This window comes from Homo sapiens, chromosome 12 (genome assembly GCF_000001405.40).
Source record: "Homo sapiens chromosome 12, GRCh38.p14 Primary Assembly".
Taxonomy (NCBI): Eukaryota; Metazoa; Chordata; class Mammalia; order Primates; family Hominidae; genus Homo; species Homo sapiens.
In genome coordinates, this window is record NC_000012.12 from 54,634,896 (window position 1) to 54,657,688 (window position 22,793).

Here is a 22,793-nt window from a genome sequence, read left to right on the forward strand (position 1 = left end):
AAGGATGCTGAAATTGCTGGGCCCTTTTAAGGATATCAAGGGCCAATGGGAACCAAGCCTGGAGAGGTGTGACTTCCGCATCCTCCTCCCCTTCTTCCCCAAACTGTCACCTGCTAAGTCAACAAGGGCTAGGTTGGGCTGGCTGATACCTGGGATCCTTGCAGGCAGGTCCTGGATAGGAGCCTTTCTCTAACTCCCAGCCATCCCTTTTCTTTCTCCCTCCTCCCTTCCCCACCACACCTGCCCTCTGGGTTCACACCCCTGGGCTCTCAGGGACGGTAGGTAGAGCACATTTCACTTGGGGAGATTCTGGGATGTGTCTGTTGAGGGTTCTGGTAGAGAAATCTTAATCTTGTCATCTCTCCAGGAGGAGGTTGAGGGCTCAGGGGATTACATTGTCCACCTTCTGTCCCAGTCTACATAGGACTCAGTGCAGGGTTTGAAGGTTTCCCCAAACTAAGTGAGCCCGTTTCCTTGGGAGACCACACCTAGAACACTTGAGGCCTGAGTTCCTGGCTGCTTTCTCCCCATGAGGGGATGGGTTTGAAGGCGTGTGTGCCTTCTCTGGAGTTGTTCTCTGTTCTTGACATTATCCAGCCCCTAAAAAGAACTCCTCCAGGCTCACATAGGCCTGTCAATCTCTGTCTTCAGGCCTACTCAATGGGACCCCACATTTCTGAGAGAATCTCCTGGTCAAAGCATGATGGTGGTTCACTGAAATTGGAGCTTGGTTCTGACTTCAAGTGGGGAGCTGACCCATGGTGTGAATAATCCAGAAAAGCAGATTATTCTAAAGAAGCTTCTCTTTGACTTGGCGTTTCTTCCTTTCCTGATCTGGGACTCTAGAGGTCTGGATTTTGAGTTCTGGCTTTGTCATATGAAAATGTTAGGATTTGAAAAGTGATAGGATTTTTATTTGTTGTCTAGGAGTTGTGGCTCCTATGTACAGCATAGTGGTGGAGATTAAGTGGGATAATATACGGCAAAGCATTTTTTTAGACAGCGAAGTTCTATGGAGTTGTGTGGGGTTCTTGTACCATCTTTCCAAGTAGGTTTTTGTCCAGGCTGGTGCTAAATGCTAGATATTAATAGAACGGGCCGTGGAGCAGGAGTCAGTTGAGGGGCTGAAGGGTGGAGAATAAGGTGCTGGATGTCAATTTGTGACTTTCCCCTTGCTTGGTGTTGGCATTCACCCAGCCCCATGTGGGCTGATTCCGGAGGCTTCTCTGCCTCATGGTAGCTCTGAAGATGAGTGTGAGAAGGGGGTATTGAAGAGTTTTCAACATGAGGGTGTTTTGGGTGCCAGGGTTTAGAACATTAATCTTTTCAGGAGATAAAGGAAGATAAAATTAATGGGGTGGGACATTAAAGCCTTGGCAATTGCTACCTGCCTGAGGGTCTGGGCCTGGGAGCCTTGAAGGTGGTGGTGGCCTTACCTGGAATGGGGAAGGCTGAAGAACAAGAGAAAGTTTTGATGGCACCAGTGCCCTGGGTATGTGCACATACGTGTGTGCACGTGTGTGTACACTGCAGAAGGAGAAGTCCTGCAGATCCCAAACAGATCTAGATCCCGAGCAGTCTCCATGAGCACATTAAAAAAGTCAACAGGAGCAAATTATGCTATTTGCACAAGACTTTTCTAAGAGGAAATGAGAACTTTGGCGTCAACACTAGAACTGTCACAGAGCAGGGTCTTTCCAAATGTCACCGCATAGCCCTTTCCTCTCCCAAATCTTCCTCCTGGCCTCAGTAATTAAAGAGGCAAGCATTTACATAAATAGGGATGAGGTGAAAGTAAGGACATTTGTTTTATAGAAAATTTTCATTATTCTATAACAGGGCCCAGAGAAATGTTACCCCAAATTATAGAGCCTGGGAAAGAATTGGGTGCATAGATTAAAGAGGCAGACCTCATGGATATGGGTGAGAGGCTGCTCTGTGCAATGTCTTGACGGACCTCATGGATATGGGTGAGGGGCTGCTCTGTGTGATGTCTTGTTTTCTAGGTTATCTGACCTCCATGATGACTGTCAGTTCGCTGATCTGTGTCTTGTCTCATGGGCTGCTCGTTGTACCTCTCTCCCCTCTGCCTCAGGTTTATTCTCTCTCATCTCTGCACTGGTCTGGAAGGATGCCTCTATGGGCTGTATCACCTGGGCTCCCATGCCCTCTAGCTTCGAGTTGAGTTTGGCCAATGGGAGACACAGGTGGGAGATGGGAGGGTGGGAAAAGGGAGAGATTAAGGCATTTGTTCCTCCTGCTCCCTCTCTTGCTTTGGCATGTGTGGTAGGACGACTTCAGAGATAGCTCCTGGTGATGCCTACGTCTTGGCATTGGTGCCCTGCTGTAATTTCCTCTGCTTAACTGGGCTGGGTCTCGAGATTCACTCCTAACAAATAGAAGATGGCAAAGTGATGAGGTAGTCAGTTCTGAGACTATGACTTTAGTCTTGTTTACACACACTCTGTCTCTGGATCTTCTCAGCTTGCTCTGATGAAGTGAGTGGCCATGTGTGAGGCTGTCCTGTGGAGAGACCTACGTGGCAAGAAACCGAGGACAGCCTCCAGCCTGTAGCCAGTAAGGAGCCGAGGCCCTTAGTCCAGCTATCTGTGAGGAACTCAACCCTGCCAGCTACCACGTGACTGAGCTTGGAAGTGGGTCTTTCCTCAGCTGAGTTTTGAGGTGACCGCAGCCTCGATGATACCTTGACTGCAGCCTCATTAGAGACTCTGTGTCTGAGGGCGCATCTGTACCTGGACTGCTGATCCATAACAACTGTGGATAAGAAATCATGTGTGAAGCCACCAAATGTTTGAATAATTTTTACAGCCACGGATACTTAATGCAGCATGGTGTGGCAATGGCTGTTTCTCTCTGACTGCAGCTTCTGTCTGGTCCCTGTTTCAGAGCGCCATCTCTTGTTGTCAGGTGACATTATTCACCCCCACCCCCCAACACGCTGCTTCAGACTTCCTGCTGTTGCTAGTCCATACTTGAATCTCTGTAAATAATAGATACATTTTTCCTTAAAGAACCTTTTTTAAAAAAAGCCCTCCTGAGAACCACAAACCACTGCTCAATGAAATAAGAGGACACAAACAAATGGAAGAACATTCCATGCTCTTGGATAGGAAGAATCAATATCGTGAAAATGGCCATACTGCCCAAGGTAATTTAGAGATTCAATGCCATCCCCATCAAGCTACCAATGACTTTCTTCACAGAAGTGGAAAAAACTACTTTAAAGTTCATATGGAACCAAAAAAGGGCCTGCATTGCCAAGACAATCCTAAGCAAAAAGAACAAAGCTGGAGGCATCACATTACCTGACTTCAAACTATACTACAAGCTTACAGTAACCAAAACAGCATGGTACTGGTGCCAAAACAGATATAGACCAATGGAACAGAACAGAGGCCTCAGAAATAACACCACACATCTACAACCATCTGATCTTTGACAAACCTGACAAAAACAAGAAATGGGGAAAGGATTCCTTATTTAATAAATGGTGCTGGGAAAACTGGCTAGCCATATGTAGAAAGCTGAAACTGGATCCCTTCCTTACACCTTATACAAAAATTAATTCAAGATAGATTAAAGACTTAAATGTTAGACCTAAAACCATAAAAACCCTAGAAGAAAACCTGGGCAATACCATTCAGGACATAGGCATGGGCAAGTACTTCATGACTAAAACACCAAAAGCAATGGCAACAAAAGCCAAAATAGACAAATGGGATCTAATTAAACTAAAGAGCTTCTGCACAGCAAAAGAAACTACCATCAGAGTGAACAGGCAGCCTACAGAATGGGAGAAAATTTTTGCAATCTACCCATCTGACAAAGGGCTAATATCCAGAATCTACAAAGAACTTAAACAAATTTACAAGAAAAAATCAAACAACCCCATCAAAAAGTGGGCAAAGGATATGGACAGACACTTTTGAAAAGAAGAGATTTATGCAGCCAGCAGACACATGAAAAAATGCTCATCATCACTGGCCATCAGAGAAATGCAAATCAAAACCACAATGAGATATCATCTCACAGTAGTTAGAATGGCAATAATTAAAAAGTCAGGAAACAACAGGTGCTGGAGAGGATGTGGAGAAATAGGAATGCTTTTACACCATCGGTGGGAGTGTAAACTAGCTCAACCATTGTGGAAGACAGTGTGGCGATTCCTCAAGGATCTAGAACTAGAAATACCATTTAACCCAAAGATCCCATTACTAGGTATATACCCAAAGGATTATAAATCATGCTACTATAAAGATGCATGCACATGTATGTTTATTGTGGCACTATTCACAATAGTAAAGACTTGGAACCAACCCAAATGTCCATCAATGATAGACTGGGTTAAGAAAATGTGGCACATATACACCATGGAATACTATGCAGCCATAAACAAGGTTGAGTTCATGTCCTTTGTAGGGACATGGATAAAGCTGGAAACCATCATTCTGAGCAAACTATCGCAAGGACAGAAAACCAAACACCACATGTTCTCACTCATAGGTGGGAATTGAACAATGACAACACTTGGACACAGGGTGGGGAACATCACACACCGAGGCCTGTTGTGGGGTGGGGGGATGGGGGAGGGATAGCATTAGGAGAAATACCTAAGGTAAATGATGAGTTAATGGGTGCAGCAAACCAACACGGCACATGTATACATATGTAACAAACCTGCACATTGTGCACATGTACACTAGAACTTAAAGTATTTATATATATATATAAGCCCTCCTGAGTGTGCCATTTGTTTTCTACTTGGACCTCTCCACTGATACACCACTTCCTGTCTGAACTGTGATGAATGTCTTTTCCTCATTCCCCTCCCTGTGTGTTAGGCCATGTTCTGGGGGCTGGTGGGGAAGCAGAGACTCCAAAGGGAGGAATTGACATGGACTATTTAGGGTAGACTGCTCCTGCATTGGAGACACAGGCACACGTTGATCTCCGAGGGCCATTCTACCCTGGCTGCTGTGCTCGACATGGCTTGTCTTCTCTGCCAAGCCCTGTGGCCTGCACAAGCTCTGCCACACTCCTGTGATGCCTCCGATCTTCCACCTTGGCCATCGGGGAGGTGTAAAGACAAAGCAATGAGTGAAAAAATTTTAAAAATGTGAATTCTGTTTCTTTAACATACATACAGCATGTAGTATGTGCCAAGCACTATTCTCAGAGCTTTATCCATTTTAATCTCACTTAATCCTCCTAACAACCCAATGAGATAAAGTACTATTAATACTCTTACTTTCTAGATAAGCAGACTAAGGCAAAGGCAGTTTAAGATGCTGGCCCATGATAACACAGCTAGTGAGTGGCAGAGCTGGATTTCAATGTGGGCTTCCTAGTTTCAGAGTCTGTGCTGTCAACCACAACTCCTTGCTGGAATGTTAAATTCCATTTTAAAATAAATATGAGGACTCTGTAACATTACATTTCTCTAGTTTAACTAATTGGTACCTGTATTCATTAGGGTTCTCCAGGGAAATAGTACTAATTGGATATGTGTGTATTTGTATGTATATGTATTTATATATAGTATGAATATTTATAGACAGACACACACACACACACACACACACACATATATATATATATATCGAGAGAGAGATTGAGACAGAGAGAGAGAGAAACAGAGAGAGGTTGATTTATGTTAAAAAATTGGTTCATGTGATTATGGAGGCTAGCATGTCCAAAAGCTGTAGTTCAGGTCTGAAGGGTGTTAGGCTGAAGACCCAGGAAATAGCTGATGTTGTGGTTCAAGTCTGAAGGTCACCTTCTGGCAGAAGTTTTTCTTGCTCAGGGGAGGTCTGTCTTTTGTTCTATTTGGGCCTCAACTGACTGGATGAGGCCCACCTTCAATCTGCCTTACTCAAGGGCAATCTGCCTTACTCAAGGTCTACCAATTTAAATGTTAATCTCATCCAAGAAAACCCTCACAAAAACATCAGAATAATGTTTCACCACATATTTGGGCATTGTTGCCCAGCAAAGTTGACATATAAAATTAACTAGGACAGTACCCTTCAGCATTTTGATTTTGGAAGGTTTAGTGGACACCAACTGGGCCCAGAGGAAAAAAAGGGCATGTTATGGGCATCTTCGGAAAGCTTTTTCCAGACCTTAAGGGGAAGGATTTTTTTTTTTCTATCTCTAGTTTCACAAGTGAAGGGGTAAGCTCCAGGAAGCTGTGAAACAGTCCACAAAGAAGACCAATAAGCGGGCCCTCTTCCTGCCTGTGGTCTAAGCAAAAAGGATTCTCATGGCTCCCATGGGGTCTAGCTACCTCATCTGGCAATGTCCAGAAAGGGACTTGGGGTCAAAGGTCAGGGCTAAGGGTTGCAAATTTCAATGCCTACAGGAGTCAAGCAGGTACCATTAATGAGCCAGGCAGTCCAGGTACAAGGCAAACGGCAGCATAGGTGCGATGATAAGTAGTAATTGTCCTTCCCTTTCAGGTGCAGGAAATCAGGAGGAAGTGGTAGAGTTGGAGCAAATTGGAGTGTGCCTGCCCTTTGTAAAGTGGTCAGCTGTCTCTGCCTTGAGCGGATGGCTGCCAGACATTCTAATTCTTCAAGGAAAATTGGAAATCTGGATTTTCTTGTAAAACTCCTAATTTTCTTATTATTTCAGAACACTTCATTTAATATTTTTACTTTGTATTATTTTAAAGCTAATTAATTTAAAAATTGACAAATGAAAATTGTATATATTTATCACATACAATGTGATGTTTCTAAATATGGTTGCATGTGGAACAGCTAAATCAAGCTAATTAACATATGCATTACCTACTTTTTGTTTTGAAATAACTTCAGACTTACAGAGGATTTGTAAAAATAGTACAAAGAATTTTCACATCCTCTTTCTAGATCCAATGGGGACTTGAGCTCCCAAATGTCAACATTTAATTGTGCTTGCTTTATCATGCTCTTCCTTTGTTTCCATCTCTTTGCTTTTTCCTTAACATTTTGAGAATTAGATTTGAATTTTTAATATACATAACCGAAGACCCCTTTAGAAATGGCTGTCCTTGATTCTTTTTTTTCTTTTTTTTTTGAGATGGAGTCTTGCTCTGTCACCCAGGCTGGAGTGCAAAGGAGCAACCTCGGCTCACTGCTGCAACCTCTGCCTCCCAGGTTCAAGTGATTCTCCTGCCTCAGCCTCCTGAGTAGCTGGAATTACAGGCACACGCCACCACGCCCAGCTAATTTTTTTGGATTTTTAGTAGAGATGGGGTTTCATCATGTTGACTGGGCTGGTCTCGAACTCCTGAGCTCAGGCAATCAACCTGCCTCGGCCTCCTAGAGTGCTGGGATTACAGGCGTGAGCCACTGTGCCCAGCCCCTTGATCATCATTATGATGACAAATCCTGATGCTTGTGGGTTTATTTTTAGAAACAATATTTTCTTGAATAGGCAGGACTTGGTGGAGTTTGTTTTTCTTCAAACAGTGCTCCCAAATACGGATAGTCCCCGACTTACAATGTTTTGACTTTACGTCGGTGAGAAAACAATACACATTCAGTAGAATCCATACTTCTAGTACCCATAAAAGCACACTGTTTTCTACTGTCATTATGGTTTTCAATAAATTACATGAGCTATTCAACACTATTAGAAAATAGGCTTTGTGTTAGATGATTTTGCCCAGTTTTGGGTGAATGTAAGTGTTCTGAGCACGTGTAAGGTAGGCAAGACTAAGCTATGATGTTCAGTAGGTTAGGTATGTTACATGTACTTTTAACTTATATTTTCAACTTATGATGGGTTTATCAGGCTGTAACCTCATCCTAAATTGAGAGGCATCTTGTATGTGTTGTTAAATCTCCCTTTCCCATTTATTGATGACAAATTTAGAGGATTCCATTTATTCTAGTTCTTTGTGGTTGTTGAGAGTCCATCCAGTATAAAATCTTACCTCCCTTTCCTTTCCCCAGCATATACTTTACTGGAGAGACATGAAAAGGGGTGGGGTCTGGTTCTGGATCTCAGGCAAGGTGGGATGGGGCGGACAGAGATCTTCTAAGGTCACTGATCACAGTCAATGAGGGAGAAATCCTGATCTCCTCCTGGCTTGGTCTCCATTCTTCTGCTCCTCTGGATGCCTCCACTGATGCAGGGTGTGGTGGTCACCAGATAGTTGGTGATTAGCTTCACCTCAGCCCTGCCATTGCTGTGGAAACCCTCAAAGAGTGGCAGTTCCTTTGGGCCAGTGGCCCACAGTCTCAACCCTCTCACCAGGTTCTGCCTCCTCCCATCCAGCTTGGAAGCCCCCAGTGCAGCTTCTTGGCTTTCGATCCCTCTTCTAAATGCACTCATGAGAGCAATGGGAATCCTAAGTTCTCTTCCTTGCTCTTTAGTGGCCTCAGGAGCTTGGATGAGAGTGTCTTCTTGCATCTCTTCCACAGGCTACCATGAAAAACTTCTTGCTTCTAGAAATGTCAGACGATAAACAGGTACCCACCTTTTTGTTCACTTTGCCCTGTGGCAGAAGTTGCTACAGGGAGACAAACATTCATTTTGACCATCCTACTGCTAGGCATTTCCAGTCCTTGCAGTTAGGTGTGGTCACTGGGAGTGGGTTCTTATATAACTTGTTAGTATAGCTCATACAAACCTCCAAGCAATCTGTTCCATGCTCCTTCCCCCTTTCTGTAGTTGGAATGGTGATAAGATGACAGAATGATCTTGAAGCTAGATATTGAAGGTGGCAGGGCTGTTGGCATCCTGGAATCCTTAAACGACTCTGTGGAGAAGACAGACTATTGCCTCTTTCCCCCAAATCTGGAGCAAACCATCTTGACTTGTACATGTTTGTGCAATTATATCTTGGATTATTGTTTATAGTAGATTAGCCTTCCCTAATTAATATAATCTTGATGCCTAGGGACACGGCTTTCTCAAGAGCTGTCCTACTGTGCTCCAGTCTGGGCAGCTTCAGGTCAGTCTAGAGGGTGCATTCAGCTGGGGATGGGAGGTTGGTGGGGGAGATGCCTGTCTCCTCCTGGACTGGAACCTTCAATCTAGGAGTGATTTCCACAGCCCTTCACTTGACTTGAAGGGTAGAAGAAGCATCTCCCTCCCTTCTTCCATGGAGATCTTCAAGAAAAATCTCTTTGCTATGTGCACTGCTTTCCCCAGTGCTCATCAGAGCCAGTGACCCTGATGATTCCACTTTTCTCCTTCTCCACGGGGTAGCGAATGATAGTTCTGTGATTGATTGGGATTGGGCTGGCTTTTCTAGCTCTAAGGAAGTCCCAGGGTGGTGGGCAGGCTCCAGATGTCAGAAGTTCTCCATGGAATGTGGGGTATTTGGGGGGTCTATGATTCTAGCTGTGGGTCCTAGAGCCAAATCCAGGGCAATGAGAAAAGTCCCACTCAACACTGATGCATAGTAAAATGGCATTGGGCAGGCAGAATGAGGGATAAGGAGGCAACCAGTTTGGGACTTGAGGCTTAGACCCTGCAGATATGGGTGAGGGGCTGGGCATGAATCAAAGAACTTGCTGGAGCTGTGCTCTCTGGGAAGGCTGGGTCTGGAAGCTGTGTTTCGGGAGGAAGGGCCAGGGTGCCAATTGAAGCCTCATGGAGTGCTCTTCCAACCTTTTGGGCTCCTGGCCAGGTTTCATACCCCATCTCTTCTTAAGGAAAACACACACATACTCCAAGTATTACAGATGCTTTCAGTTTAATAGCTGTTTTAAATTTTTTTTTTTTTTTTTTTTTTTAGGTTTTAGGCTGAAGACGTAAAGCCTGCTGCTCCTGGGTATCATTTCTCAGCTTCTCCTTACAGCTATAGTACTGAGTCAAGGACGTCTTTAACGTCATGGACGGCTCCTAGGACAGCCACAGAAAAAAATGGGGTAAAGGGGTAGGAAGAAAAAAGGAAGGGAAAGAGAGCCAGGGAATTGGGGAAGGAGAGGTAGGGGAAGGGGAAGGGGAAGGGAGGCCTGGAGGTGCTTACACAGAAGTCAGAGGGATGGAGGTTAGATTCACAGGAGCCCCAAAGACCAACCTCTCTTCCCCACCTTGGCAGGGGCAGGGGGCAAGAGCAATAAAAAAAAAAGCAAGTTAGACCCCAGGAAGTATCAATATCAGACAAGAATGGCAATTTAAATCTGGATGAGGAATTGGAGACATTTGAAAGCACAAAGTGAGGGGTCTTCAATGGGGGGGCTGTGGCAGTTTCAGATCTCATGCAAGGGGTGGAGACTGAGGCTGGTCCTGAGGGAGGAGTGGGGACATATACTCACCTTTACCCACGCTTTCTAGATCTTCGACTGCATCTTTTCCTAGTTTTCCGAGTCCCCCCACAGCTTTTTTTGCTCCGTCTAGGCCTTTTTCTAGGGTGGATTCAGAAAAGAAGAGGTCATAGAAGCAGAAAAACTACTTCCTTTGTAGGAGAGCTCCCCCGCTTCCTAGGCACCATGGGCACCCCTAAGGTGAAGTGGTTTTGCTGAAGGAACCAACTTCTCTGTCATGGGAAGGTTGGTAGGCCAGTATTAGCTGCAAAACCTATGGCCCAGAAACCCTGTATGTAGAAGCAGGTGTGCACCCCAAGCCCTCCCTAGGAATATGGGTGTAGCTGTGTCCCTGTGCTTGTGCCTGTGAGGGCAGACTGGCCCCCAGATATCTTGCTGTTTCATGCATCAGAATTCTATACCAGGCATTGGGAAAGAGGCTTACCCAGAAGGCTGGATCTCTGCTTCCTTGGCTTTGGTGCCTGTCTGGCTAACCCTGGGTCTTCACCTGCATTTTCCTTTTGAGCTGCTGATGCTTCATGGCAAGCTGCAAGGGTAAGGGAGTGAGAGGAATAATAGCTATTTCACTCTTTCCACCCTGGTCGGGGAGCAGGTGGTGCTTTTACCCCCTCAAGGTCTGGCTTGAGGATAGCTCCCTCTCTCCCAATTCCTCTAGAGCTTGACTTTCATGATGTGTTAGGTTCTTTAGCATCCCTCAAGCTTTTTCCTGCTGCCTCCAAGACTTTTCCTGCTCCTCCAGGGCCCTTTTCTAGAGTAGATTATGGTTCAGGGAAAAGTAAAGTCATTTTGGCAGAAAGATCACCTTAAAGAGACTCCCCCTAGTTTTCATCCCTTATACCAGCCCCCTAGTGTGGGGAGGTTTTGCAGAGGGCACTAGCTTCTCTCTTCTAGGCAGGTTGGTGGATGAGGACAGAAATTTGGCAGTCTCTGAAGGGGGCTTCTGTAGCTGTAAACAATCCATTTGTTTATCTGGAAAATCAAAACTTCTGTTATTGCATTGGTGTGAAACGCTCCAGGGGCATCTGAGAAGACACCAAGGTGCCCGGTGTTCCCTCTGGGCTTTATGTGAGAAGGCAGGGAGGGTGCAGGTGTGTGCTGTGGTTGGGGCTCGCAGTGCAGTGAAGATGTGCAGAAATACAGTTTATCTTTCTGCCGTTAATTATCCAGAGTGTGTACATGGCTGGGGAAGTAGAAATGAATGAGAATTAGATCTCTCTCTCAGGGGCTTACAGTCTAGGAAAAGAGACAAAACTGCTATATATGGGAAGCCCAGAAGAGGGAGGGATGAAAGGAGAGACTGGGACAGAGGCACCATACACACCAGGCAGGGAGGGCTTCAGAGAGCAGCTGGGACTTGAAGCTTGTTAGAGCACGGACAGGTAGGGGTTGAAAAGGTACCCAGGAAGAGGAACGTTGGGTAGTAGAAAGTTACTCATGCTGTCTGATGAAACAAATGTATAACGTTTGATGTGGAGAATGCAAGCAGTGGAGTCTAGGGAAATTATATTTGAAAAGTACCCTGGATCTAGATCATGGATACCCTGAATGTCAGGCTAGGAGGTGAGAGTTTCGTGATGAGAAATGGGAAACCACGTGAAAGGTTTTTGAATTGAAATTGTTGGTGAAGGTGGGGCAGATGAAAACCTCTGAACCCATCTAATGTGAAGTTCCTCCTCTTGCTCAAGAAAAGTATTCTTTTCTTTCCCATTTTTCTTACTCCACTTCTACTTCCAGACAGGGCCACCCTTTCCCCCATGCTCTGTCCTTCTCCAGTGCATGAGTCTCTCAGGAAGTCTCCCTTCTCCATGTCTCCTAAAAGTCGGCCTCCCAACTCTCCTTCCCCGGACCCCCCTTCTGCTTCTCTGACTTCCTCCACTCATATCCCAAGTCATTAACCCTCCCACCCAGGACTGGGGCAGGAGGAAGAGAAAGGACTCACGGTTCCCCGATCCTGGGGCAGAGGCGGCCTCTGGATCATCTGCAAAGGAGGGAACAGTGACCATGTCAAGTAGGGCACAGTTGCATGAGCTGTATCCAGCCAGGGCTGCCTAGAATTCCCAGGCCTCTAATCTCAGGAGTGTGGCAGTGGACAGACAGGAGAGAAATCTCTGCTTCACAAGGGGCCCACTAGAAATGCTTTTTGGTATCTCAACCAAATCCCTCTCTCTGTTATCCTCCCTAGACCTAGGCTACTCAGAACATCCCTATGGAAATGGAATCATTCTCTGACTCTCTTCTATGTCTTAGATGTCCAAGTTTCATAATGAAAGTTGAAGGGGCATGACCACGAGGGCATGACCACAGCACCTGCTCTAGTGACAGGGCAGGAGTTGTTCTGATTGTCACCTGATAGAATGACCTCAGAAGGACCTTCCCTCCATTTCTTTATTCTTCCAAAAGCATGAATGAAGCACGCATTATGCACCAGACATGGTGTTAGAGGCTAGAGATACAGCTGTGAGGAAGACAGACAGTGTAATTGCTCGGGGAAGCTGACAGTCAATGGGGGATTTGGAGGAATTAACATAATTACATAAACAATTATTTAATTACATTTGTGATAGTGCTAGGAAGGAAAAATACAGGAGGCAAGAAAATGCAAAATAGGGGCCAAAATGATTCTGGGGCTTCAGCAAGCCTGCTGTGAGGAAATACATGGACACAGAGAGCTAGCAGGGCGGACACTTGGAAATTGAGTAGGAAGGAGGTTGACGTGGGTGGGTGAAATAATGGGCAGGGGAAAAGACAAGAGGATGTGCAAAAGTCTTGGCAGTGGGAAATGGCTTGGTTCATTGAGGGGAAAAAGAATGCCAGAGTGGTTGGAGCAGAGTGGGCCAATCACAGACTGAGAGGAGAGGCAATGGAGAGCCAGGCTGGGGCCACAGGGCTCCTGGCTTCCTCTGACCATAGAGTCCCTGTGTGGAGAACCTAGTGGGAGGCAGGAGTGGGCTACAGAGACAGACTTGGGTGAACTGCCTCTGGCGAGGAGGGGAAGGGGAAATGAAGGCAGGGCCCAGTCTTCAGGGGACTATATGGTTGGGTGTCGGGGAAGAGCCATACTCACAGGCACAGACCAGGGCTCCTGCCAGAGCTGTCAGGAAGAGGAGAGTCATGAACCTCATGCTTCTGTGTGCTGGAGTGGGTATGCCACCAAATCCTTGGAGATCTTGGGATCTAGGGTGTCAAGACTGCCTCTCTGGGCCTTTTTTTAAGCATGACAGGGACCAATGGGAACCAGTCTTCCAGTGGTGTGTTCTCCTCCTCCTCTTCTCCCACCTCAGAGCCACCTGTTAAGTCAACAAAGGCTGGCTGGGGCTGGCTGGTGCCCGCCTTCCCTGCAGGTAGGTCCTGGACAGCAGCTCTGGAGTTGGCACTGTCCTGACTGGCATCCTTTTCCTGCCTCTCCCCTTCCCATCTCGCTTGTCCCTGGGCTCCCATCTCTGATTGCATCTGGGGTCCTGGGGAAGACTGTGAGAGGTTTCTGGAGAGGGCCCTGGCAGGAGGGCTGTGCCCAGAAGGCTCTCCTTCCACCTGGAAACAGAAGGGGGGCCCAAGATGTCAGATCCAGCCTCCTTAGGAGAGAGTGGGGGTGGCTGAGGCTTCCCTTGAGTGGGTTAAGCCCACCCTAGGGGGCTGCCCTCACAGCATTTGGGGATCCCACCTGACTAAGGTCCAGAGAGGCTGATGTCCTCTCTAGGGGTCTCCATGTGGTAACCAGAGCTTCCCAGCCTCAGTAGGCCCTGACCAGGGTGTCTTCAGTCCCAGCTAATGATCCTCTACCCCAGAAAATTCTCCTGGTAAGTTAACCAGAATATGAAGTCAGTTCCCAGTTTGCCCTTCATATAGGGGAGGGAGGCCAGTGGTGTGGATAATCCAGAGAAGTGGAGAATCCAAAGGTGCTTCTCTCTGCCTCAGAATCCCTTCCTGCGGACTTGTGTTTTCTTCGAAATGGCAGAAAGTCCTGGAGATGTGGGTTTATGACTCGATTTTGTTGTTTACTAGCTGTGTGGCCTTCAGAGAGGCAATTTACCTGCCCCACTTCAATTGTTTTTCTTTCTTCTTTTATTTTATGGTAATATTTAAGGTGTAACATGAAGTTTTGATATACATGTATTTAGTGAAATGGTTACTATAATCAAGCAAATGAACACATCCATGATTTTACATAATTAGCCTTTTGTGTGTGTGTCTCTCTGTATGTGTGTGTGTGTGTGTGTGTGTATGTGTAAGAGCACCCAAAATCTGCTCTTCCAGCAAAAATCCCAAATTCAATACAGTATTATTGACTCCAGCTCTTGTGTTCCACTTCAGCTGTTTTGCATTTGATGGTGAGAAATGATCATTTTAATCCTACAGGTTTCGTGTGAGGAATACATGTGTCAAAACTGGTCAGCTCCCTCCTCCATCTATTCCAGACCCAAGCTGGGGAGCTGAGGATAACTTGGAACCTTAGTTTCTGCTCCTCACAAAGCCAGTTACTTCCTTGAGATGTCTTCTCTCCACGGAGTGGAGCCTGCCCTTGCCCTGTTCCTGGGACCTTGGTGAAAATGGACTGAGATTTGTTTCCTGAGGTGCTCTGTCTGTGCCAGACACCGTGTTGGACCCAGACAGATAAAGATGAGTAGACTGTGGTCTTGCCTTGAGGGGATACACAGTAGGCAAGGATCTCAGACAGATGAAGGGACAATTGATGGTAGCAGGGGACTCTGTCCTGGTAGACAAAGCATGCTCTTCCTAGCCTATGGGATTGAAGCAAAGTTGTGCTCCACCACTTAGAGGCTGAATGATTTTGGCATGTCACATAATCTCTCTGACTCTCATCTCCACAGTGTGACCCAGGGTACTTGTGAAATTCGAACAGGAATAGCTCAGATCCACTTTCTGGGTCAACTTTCTGGGGCTCTTCCCTGTTCTCTGGATGTCTACCTCTCACCTCCATGGGAACTCAGTCCATCTGAGCTCTCACCATCTCTCCTGTTGTGTGGTTCATTGTGAGACTTTCTTGGCTTTTTTCCTTCAACATACAGACATCTTAAAAATAAGCAAAATGTTCCCTTTATACTCTCCCTATCTAGCTTCTTTCCAATCCTTCTGCAACCAAGCTTTTTGAAAACAACTCCATTTTTTTTTTGGCCTCAACATCCGTGTTTTGCTTTATGTTCTTATCACCCTGTAATGTTTGCACCACCATCCCTGGAACCGAGATACATCCTTGCCAAGGTACTCGGATACAGTCGCCACTTTTCAGCCTTTATCTTATCTGATCTCGGTGGGCTCTGACACTGTTAGAGCCACTCATCTTTTGAGGTGCTGGGGTTTTCTTTCTTTCTCTCCTTTTTTGGGCCACCCTTCAGTCCCACTTTGACTCACCTTGCCTGCCCCTTTGATATTCTCCAGTGTTCTATTCTTAGCCTTTTTCTTCTCTCCTCTTACAAACTCTCCTGTGTGACTCATTCTTGGAGTCACACTTCCTGGCTCCCACATCTTCATTCCGGCCCAGACCTCTCTCCTGAACACTAATATCCACTAATGGATGGGCAGTAATGCACTGATGAACCCTAGGGGTTGCAACTGGCCTCACCTACGTTCCCCACATCTTCCCCATCACCTGCTCCTCCTCCTGCACCATTTTCCATTCTGATTAACAGTATTGACATTCACCCAGTTATCTAAATAGAGATCTGAGAGTAATTTTACATTTTTCCTCCTCTTGGCCCCCTATGTACAAGGACACCGGGGTCTATGAAGTTCTGCCTCTTTGTCAATCCCAGGGCTCTGGCTCAGAAGCCTCTGCCTGGGGGCCTTGCCATTTTTTATGTTCACTGAAGAAACAGCTTCACAAATGGTTTTCCCTCTGACAGTCTCAAGTTCAAACTCCCAGCTGTCTAAGTGATTTATAGTAGACAAACTATGTGCAGAGCACACACCATCTTTCATGAGCTGGCTTCTGTCCGTCCCTTCAGTTTCAACCCTTCTCATTCCCTCATCAAGACTCTGCCTCAGTCACATTAAATTTCTTTCAGTTTCTTGCATAGATTTAATTTTTTCTTGCTTCTGCCTCTTCACGTATTTTCCTCCGTGTATTGTCTTTAATGCCCTCCTACGATTAGATGACAGAGCTTTTTCCTACTCATCCTTTAAGATTCAGATCAGAAATACCTTCTTCCTGGAAGATTTTCTTTTTTTCTTTTCTTTTTTCTTGAGACGGAGTCACGCTCTGTCACCAGGCTGGAGTGCAGTGGTGCAATCTCAGCTCATTGCAACCTCCGCCTCCCAGGTTCAAGCGATTCTCCTGCCTCAGCCTCTCAAGTAGCTGGGACTACAGGCACCCACCACCACCCCTGGCTAATTTTTGTAGTTTTAGTAGAGATGGGGTTTCACCATGTTGGCCAGGATGGTCTTGATGGTCTCGATGTCTTGACCTCGTGATCCGCTCACCTCGGCTCCCAAAGTGCTGCAGTTACAGGCTTGAGCCAGTGGGCCCAGCCCCTGGAAGATTTTCTGGGCATTCTTCTTGTCTTCCTTCCTCTCCCCACCAAAGTGAAGTCAGAGTTCTGGGCTATGCACTTCCACCAGCCCCTTGCTCTTCTCTTTATCTGTGCATCACCTCGATGGTATTGGGATTGTCTGTTTAGTGCTTGGTTTTCCACACTAGACTTCAGCTGTGCAGTGCAGGACCATGTTTAATTTGTCTGTGCACCCCAGCCCCAGTGAGGATGCCAGACACACAGTTAGAATGCAGTAACTTTTGGTGAAGTGCAGCTAGAAACCTACAAGTGAGTGGGGCTAGAAACCTTCAGAATTTGGGCAAGAGATGTGGACTGGTGGATAAAGCTTAGATTAGACTAATAACATTAATCTGTTGGAAAGAGATATGCCAAGCTGCTTTTTAAGAAACTATTTAATATTTGTTTGTAGTTTTTTTCTTTGAGGTAAAACTTACATACAATGAAACTATACAATGAAACATACATATTAACTGTATTTTTTCGTCTTGTCAAATGCATCTACTGATGTAACCCAGACTCCAATCAAGATATGAAGCATTACCAGTAACCCAGAAAATTTCCTCCTGCCTTTTCCCAGGTGATACCTGCCCCAGCTCCTAGAGGCAAGCTGAACTGCTTTTTAAATACACTCTTTTTTTATTTTAAGAGACAGGATCTTGCTCTGTGATCCAGGCTGGAGTGTAGAGATGCCATCATAGCTCACTGCACCCTCAAACTTCTGGGCTCAAGCGATCCTCTCGCTTCAGTTTCTCAATTTAATGCACTCATTGCTGGAATATCTGTGGGGTTTATTCAACCCTAGCTTGATAGCTTTCTTTCTCTGTCTTGTAATGTGGGCTTATGCCTGTAGAAACCTGACAATTCAGGCCATAGAAGCATCCTTGGGTCAGGAAAGAGAGCTTGCATGTTTTCAAAGGTGTGGAGAGTCTCTTTGGTGTTCCGTGGTGAAAAGAGTCAGCACTGGGCCTTCAATTTTCATGCACTTCATCGAGTGATTCCCCAGGAAGGGCCCAGAAGAAAGATTAAGATATGGGGAATACTTGCCTTTGGACAGAATCCGTTTCTGTTTAACTGATGTCTTCCAGCTGGTTCCTCAGAAAGAAAAGGTCAGGTAGGTTCAGAAGTCCAGTGTGGGAATAATGTGGTTAAGAGTTGGGAGTCAGGAGGTGAATTAAGTCTAATATCAAAGGTGGGCAGTGGAGATCTGTGCAGGGCAAGGAGAATTCAGAGAAAGGTAGGCAGGGGCTTCATTCATTTTGCAGGTACTGGGTACTGGCATCTGAGGGATAAGTATGAGTTGGTATCCACCCTCATGGAGCTCATAGTCTCGGCTTGGAAATAAAGTTATGCTAAATAATTCGATATTAATATGACCCATAAAGGAGTACCTAGAAGGGAAAAATGAAGGTCTGAAGCAGTTCAGGGATGTTGAGAAGAGGGGAAACGTTAGAGGAAGCACTCAGGGGCATTATGGTCAGGAAAGTGAGGGAGAGGAAGTGCTCCATTCCTGAAGATCTGAAATCAAGTGAGTGATAGGGCCGGAGATGGAGAGGCTTGAGTATGGGGAGGGCACATGTGTGTGCATGTGTGTGCGTGTGTGTGTGTGTGTGCGCACGCACATTTGAGTGGGAGGTACATGAAGGCAGAGGGCGATGCTCCCTTCTCAGTAGGAACGTCATCTCGGACAGATCATTACACAGCCCTCAGGAACAGTTCTTGCTATTTGCACAAGTATTTTCCAGGAGGAGATTCCAGGAGGAGGAACCTCAGGGTTCTGCAATCAGCACTGCCAAGGAGCAGTTTCTCGGTACTCCTCCTTGCCTCCCTTCCCTACCTGGGCCTCAGGAAAGAAAGGAGGAGGTACTCCCAGGAATTGTGGGGAGGGAGCAGAGGCCTGTAAGGTAAATACCTTTTTTCCCCCAACACTTAAAAAAGATGCTTTTCATGAATTTAAAACAAGTCTGTAATATTCATTACCAAGCTTAGCCTGTTACTCATTATGGAGAGGGAGGCATGGGATGGGAATGGGGGCAGGGATGGTACCCAGAAGACTGCAATTCCTTTTCTCCTGGATGTGGTTAAAGAAAAACACTCCAGTTCTCTGGCTTCCTTGAGGGGGCAATTGTCCGTGGACACCTGGTTGTAGACCCTGGTGCTTGCTGGGGTGCTAATCTGCCCCTTCTCCTGTTCTGCATGTTCTTCCCCTGTTCTTCATTCTTCCCTATCTGGGTACAGTGTCCTATCCTAGACAGTGGGGTGGGGAATGTGGAACACAGAGGGAGGAGGTGACCCTGCATTTACGAGGATGGAAGGTTGATTCCTGTATCTGGGCGGACATAAGGGCCTTTACCTGGCCATCTCACGCTGATCCTAACTGACTTCACTGCTGTTTCTGTTACGCACCCATTGGCACTACAGTAATGCCTTGTTTCTCTGAGCTGGTGGAAGCTAACCAGTCATCTTGGTCAAATGTCAAAAGGTTAACTGCCTGAATTTTATAGGCAATTGCCAGAAAAAGCATCCTCAGAATCAATGTCCCTGGCTTTGAATAATTTCCAGGTGACACATCATGTACCTCTAAAAATCAAATTAATATTTGGAAATGGTCATTAAGAACCAAGATTGAGGAATAAAGTGGAGAGGCATTTGGGTTGAAAACTCTACTCGGTTATTTCATCATAAGGTTCCCATTCTCGTCTGGCTTCTAAACAGGTTCTGAAAATCGATTCAAAAGGGCAGATAATTTTGGAGCAATGAAAGCCCATTTGGGGTGAGTATGGCTTCCCAAGGTGACTAGTTTGAAGAATGTGGTGCTCATTTAGATGTAGAAGTTCTGGCTTATTTGTGACAAATCAATTCTCTTCTCCTTATTATCAAGTTTGAAATTGGCCTTAGCAAGGTCTTTGGTACACTTAGGACATTCTAAATTTCTCTATCCCAAGGGTCTGGAGAATTGAGGAGTCATCAGACCTTAGGAAGTTACTGGGAATTAATCTGGAGAGGCTTCCTGGACCAAGAAGACTGTGGAGAGAGATGGAAGTGACAGCCTTCAATACTGGGGGTTGGTTAGCATAAGGACAACAGCGCTATCCTTGGATGCAGAATTTGGGCATATGAACTGAGCAGAATTGACTTGGGGAACCCTTAAAATAAGCGCACAACAGAGCTGAGGGCAGCAGCTGGTAGAAGGCTAAGATAAATTGTTAGAATGGAGTTTTAAACAGGAGGAGAGGAAAATCATCTTGGTTGTCTGCCATTCCTGCCTCTGAATAACTGGAGCCAATTCTAAAGTACTAATAGGGCCTGAGTAGGGTCTGGTACTCCCCAGTTTTGTGATGCACTCCCTTAATCCCTAGAGGTGGCAGGGGGTCAGGCCCAGCTGCATGGAGAGCCAATTGCCTCAGGGAGATGACTTAGACAAATAGGACTTTTATGTTCTTGTTAATTCGTGTGTGAGCCTGGGGCATTGTGGGAATGGAGCTGAGGAAAAAGGTTGCCAGTGAGGTTTGCAGGAAGCAACCGGCTTTGTTCTCTGCTGAGATTCAAGGAACTCCAGGAGGTTGCTTTCCTGAAATGCCCCTAACTGGCCACAAGCCCTGGCTCCCTTTGCCCCTCTGGCTCTCTTCTGGGTAGAATTCTGACCACTTCCCTTCTTCCTGTTCTGAGCTAATGACCAGGAAAGAAGCTGCTGGGTAGGTGGGAACATATAACCTCTTGAGAGACTTAGAGACTCTTCAAGGGGGAGGATTGAGCGAGAAGTCATTCCATCCCTTTCAGACTGGCAGAGAGAAGGGAAGCAACTGGTCTAGATTGAAGGTATAAAAGAGACTGTGAGAGACAAATTCCTTGTCTTTGGCTCTGCCATTTACTCTGTATAATTCTTGCTATATCATGTTTTCCCTGTTTTATGCATTCATAGTCCAGCTTTCTCAATGTGGGGTCAGTGGAGAAAGCCTCTAGATCTATCTGCTTTATCTAATACTTTTATTTTTTATATATTTATTTATTTTTAGAGACAGAGTCTTGCTCTGTCACCCAGGAGTGCAGTGGTGTGGTCATAGCTCACTAACCTCAAACTCAAACTCCTGGGCTGAAAACAATCAATTAGCTCAGAGGATAAGCCTAATTCTCTGACTAGCCTCTGAGTAGCTGGGACTGCCAGCGTATGCCACCATGCCCAGCTAATTGAAAAAAATGTTTTTTGTAGAGATGGGGGTCTCACTATGTTGCCTAGGCTGGTCTTGAACTCCTGGCCTCCAACAATCCTTCCTCTTTGGCCTCTCAAAGTGTTGGGATTATAGGCATGAGCTACTAAGCCAGGCCCTCTAATACTTATTTTTAATACATGTTGAATAGACTTAACCCTCCTTCCCACTGGGAGATATTCAACTCCCTTGTCAACATCTGTGTAGATTCTCAGGAGCTTCAACTCTTAAAATCACTGTGCCCTGTGATTTTCTCTAATGAATTATCATTTGTGTCTTGATTCCTTCAGTTATTCCCTGTTCCCTGAATCCCTCCAAATATGGACACAGCTCCTTTCTCTGCATTTCTCTGGGCACCACCAATATAAGACTTTTGTCTTTGCTGAAAATTCCAACACAAAAACACTTTAACGATGCACATGAATCATCCATGCCCAAATTTAATTGGCCCTAGGGAACCTGAGCCATTGAAGTTCCCTGCTATGGGGAGCCTCACACCATCTCTCCTTAGACCTTAAGTCTCTCCTGGTTGTTCTCTTTTTCCTAGCACTCCATACCCATTTACTTAACTTCATTCTTCATTTGTTCACTCAATACATGTTTATTGATTGCCTACCATATGCCAAATACTGCGTTAGTCACTGATACATTTAAGTAGTTTAGTTGTCTTTGTCTCCTACCGTCCAGGGGAAATTCATCTTTCTTCACTGAGAATGCAAAATGGACACTGGGTATGCCCCCATTTTGACTAATTGTGTATATCACATACTTCACATGCCTCAGAGACAAAACTTTTCATCCTGTGGTAAACTAAAACAAACTCTGTCAAGCATTAGTCCTCCAAACAAATAAAGCCTTGGACCTTTATTCCATGAGTTGCTGACTCCCTAGTGAGGTGAAACTTATCTCTGACTTTTACAATATTGATGTCTGCAGATGACATAATAGCTCTTGCAGATATGGTAATCATGTGAGGAACTGCCGTTTTTATAACAGTGAAATAAGAAAGTGACCAACTGCTACTTCGCTGTTTTCCTTTACCTTCTGGTTATCTTACTCAGGGAGCCCAGCTCTAAAGGAATTCTTTGCAAACACTGAAAATAAAAATATTTTAAATGTTCAAATTTGCCTCTTTCTGGCTTTCTTTTAGTATCACCCAAAGGTCGTTTCTTTTGATGTTACCCGAAGCTCACTGAAACATTTTCTTATGCACAGAACCACGTACATCTGGACAGATTATGCCATCATTTTTGGAGGGCAGGAGATCTGCAGCCAGTTATTTTTTAAAATAAATTTTTCTGTAATAAGAATGATGCAATTTGGTTTGTATGTATGAGGAGGGCCTGGGAACAATGAGGAGTGTCTCACCAGGAGGTCCACAGTTATTTTTGTTATAAATTATTCAATAACAAGAATGATGCAATTGGTTTGTAGACATGAGGAGGGCCTGGGCAGAAAAGGAGAGTCCCACCTGAAGGATGAGGTAATTCCCTGGGCTATGGTTGACCTCAGGCCCTTGCTGGTTCTGACACACTGAGCCTTAGTTTCTGGCATACTGTCTACCTTTCCTCTGTACACCGAAACTCCTATCCTCCAGCTTTGCATACACTCCTCAGCCTTGTGGCTGACTGCCATAAAGAAAACAGAACTGGCTGGCTGATACTAGGGAGACGGGACTGCCCGTGAGCCCTACAGGGAGCGCTCCCGGGTAGGGTTAGAATTCTGTTAGCCAGGCTGTGTGAATCTGGTTTTTGTTTTTTAAATTCCATCTTTATTCTCCTTAAATAAAGTCA

General features: G+C 45.5%; 1 protein-coding gene across 2 annotated transcripts; it reads right to left on the reverse strand.

Annotated features, from left to right (window-relative positions):
• Positions 1–9,693: 9,693 nt before the first annotated feature.
• DCD (dermcidin) lies at positions 9,694–13,470 on the reverse strand. Of its 2 annotated transcripts, NM_001300854.2 has the most exons (6): positions 13,351–13,470; positions 12,226–12,264; positions 10,711–10,812; positions 10,278–10,367; positions 9,989–10,052; positions 9,694–9,861 (listed from the first exon to the last, which is right to left on the reverse strand). In NM_001300854.2, exons 1-6 carry the CDS (start codon positions 13,406–13,408, stop codon positions 9,849–9,851), a joined length of 366 nt encoding a protein of 121 aa, NP_001287783.1. In that variant the 5' UTR covers positions 13,409–13,470; the 3' UTR covers positions 9,694–9,848. The 2 variants fall into 2 exon arrangements, with proteins under 2 accessions (NP_001287783.1, NP_444513.1); NM_053283.4 differs by lacking the exon at positions 9,989–10,052.
• Positions 13,471–22,793: the final 9,323 nt, after the last annotated feature.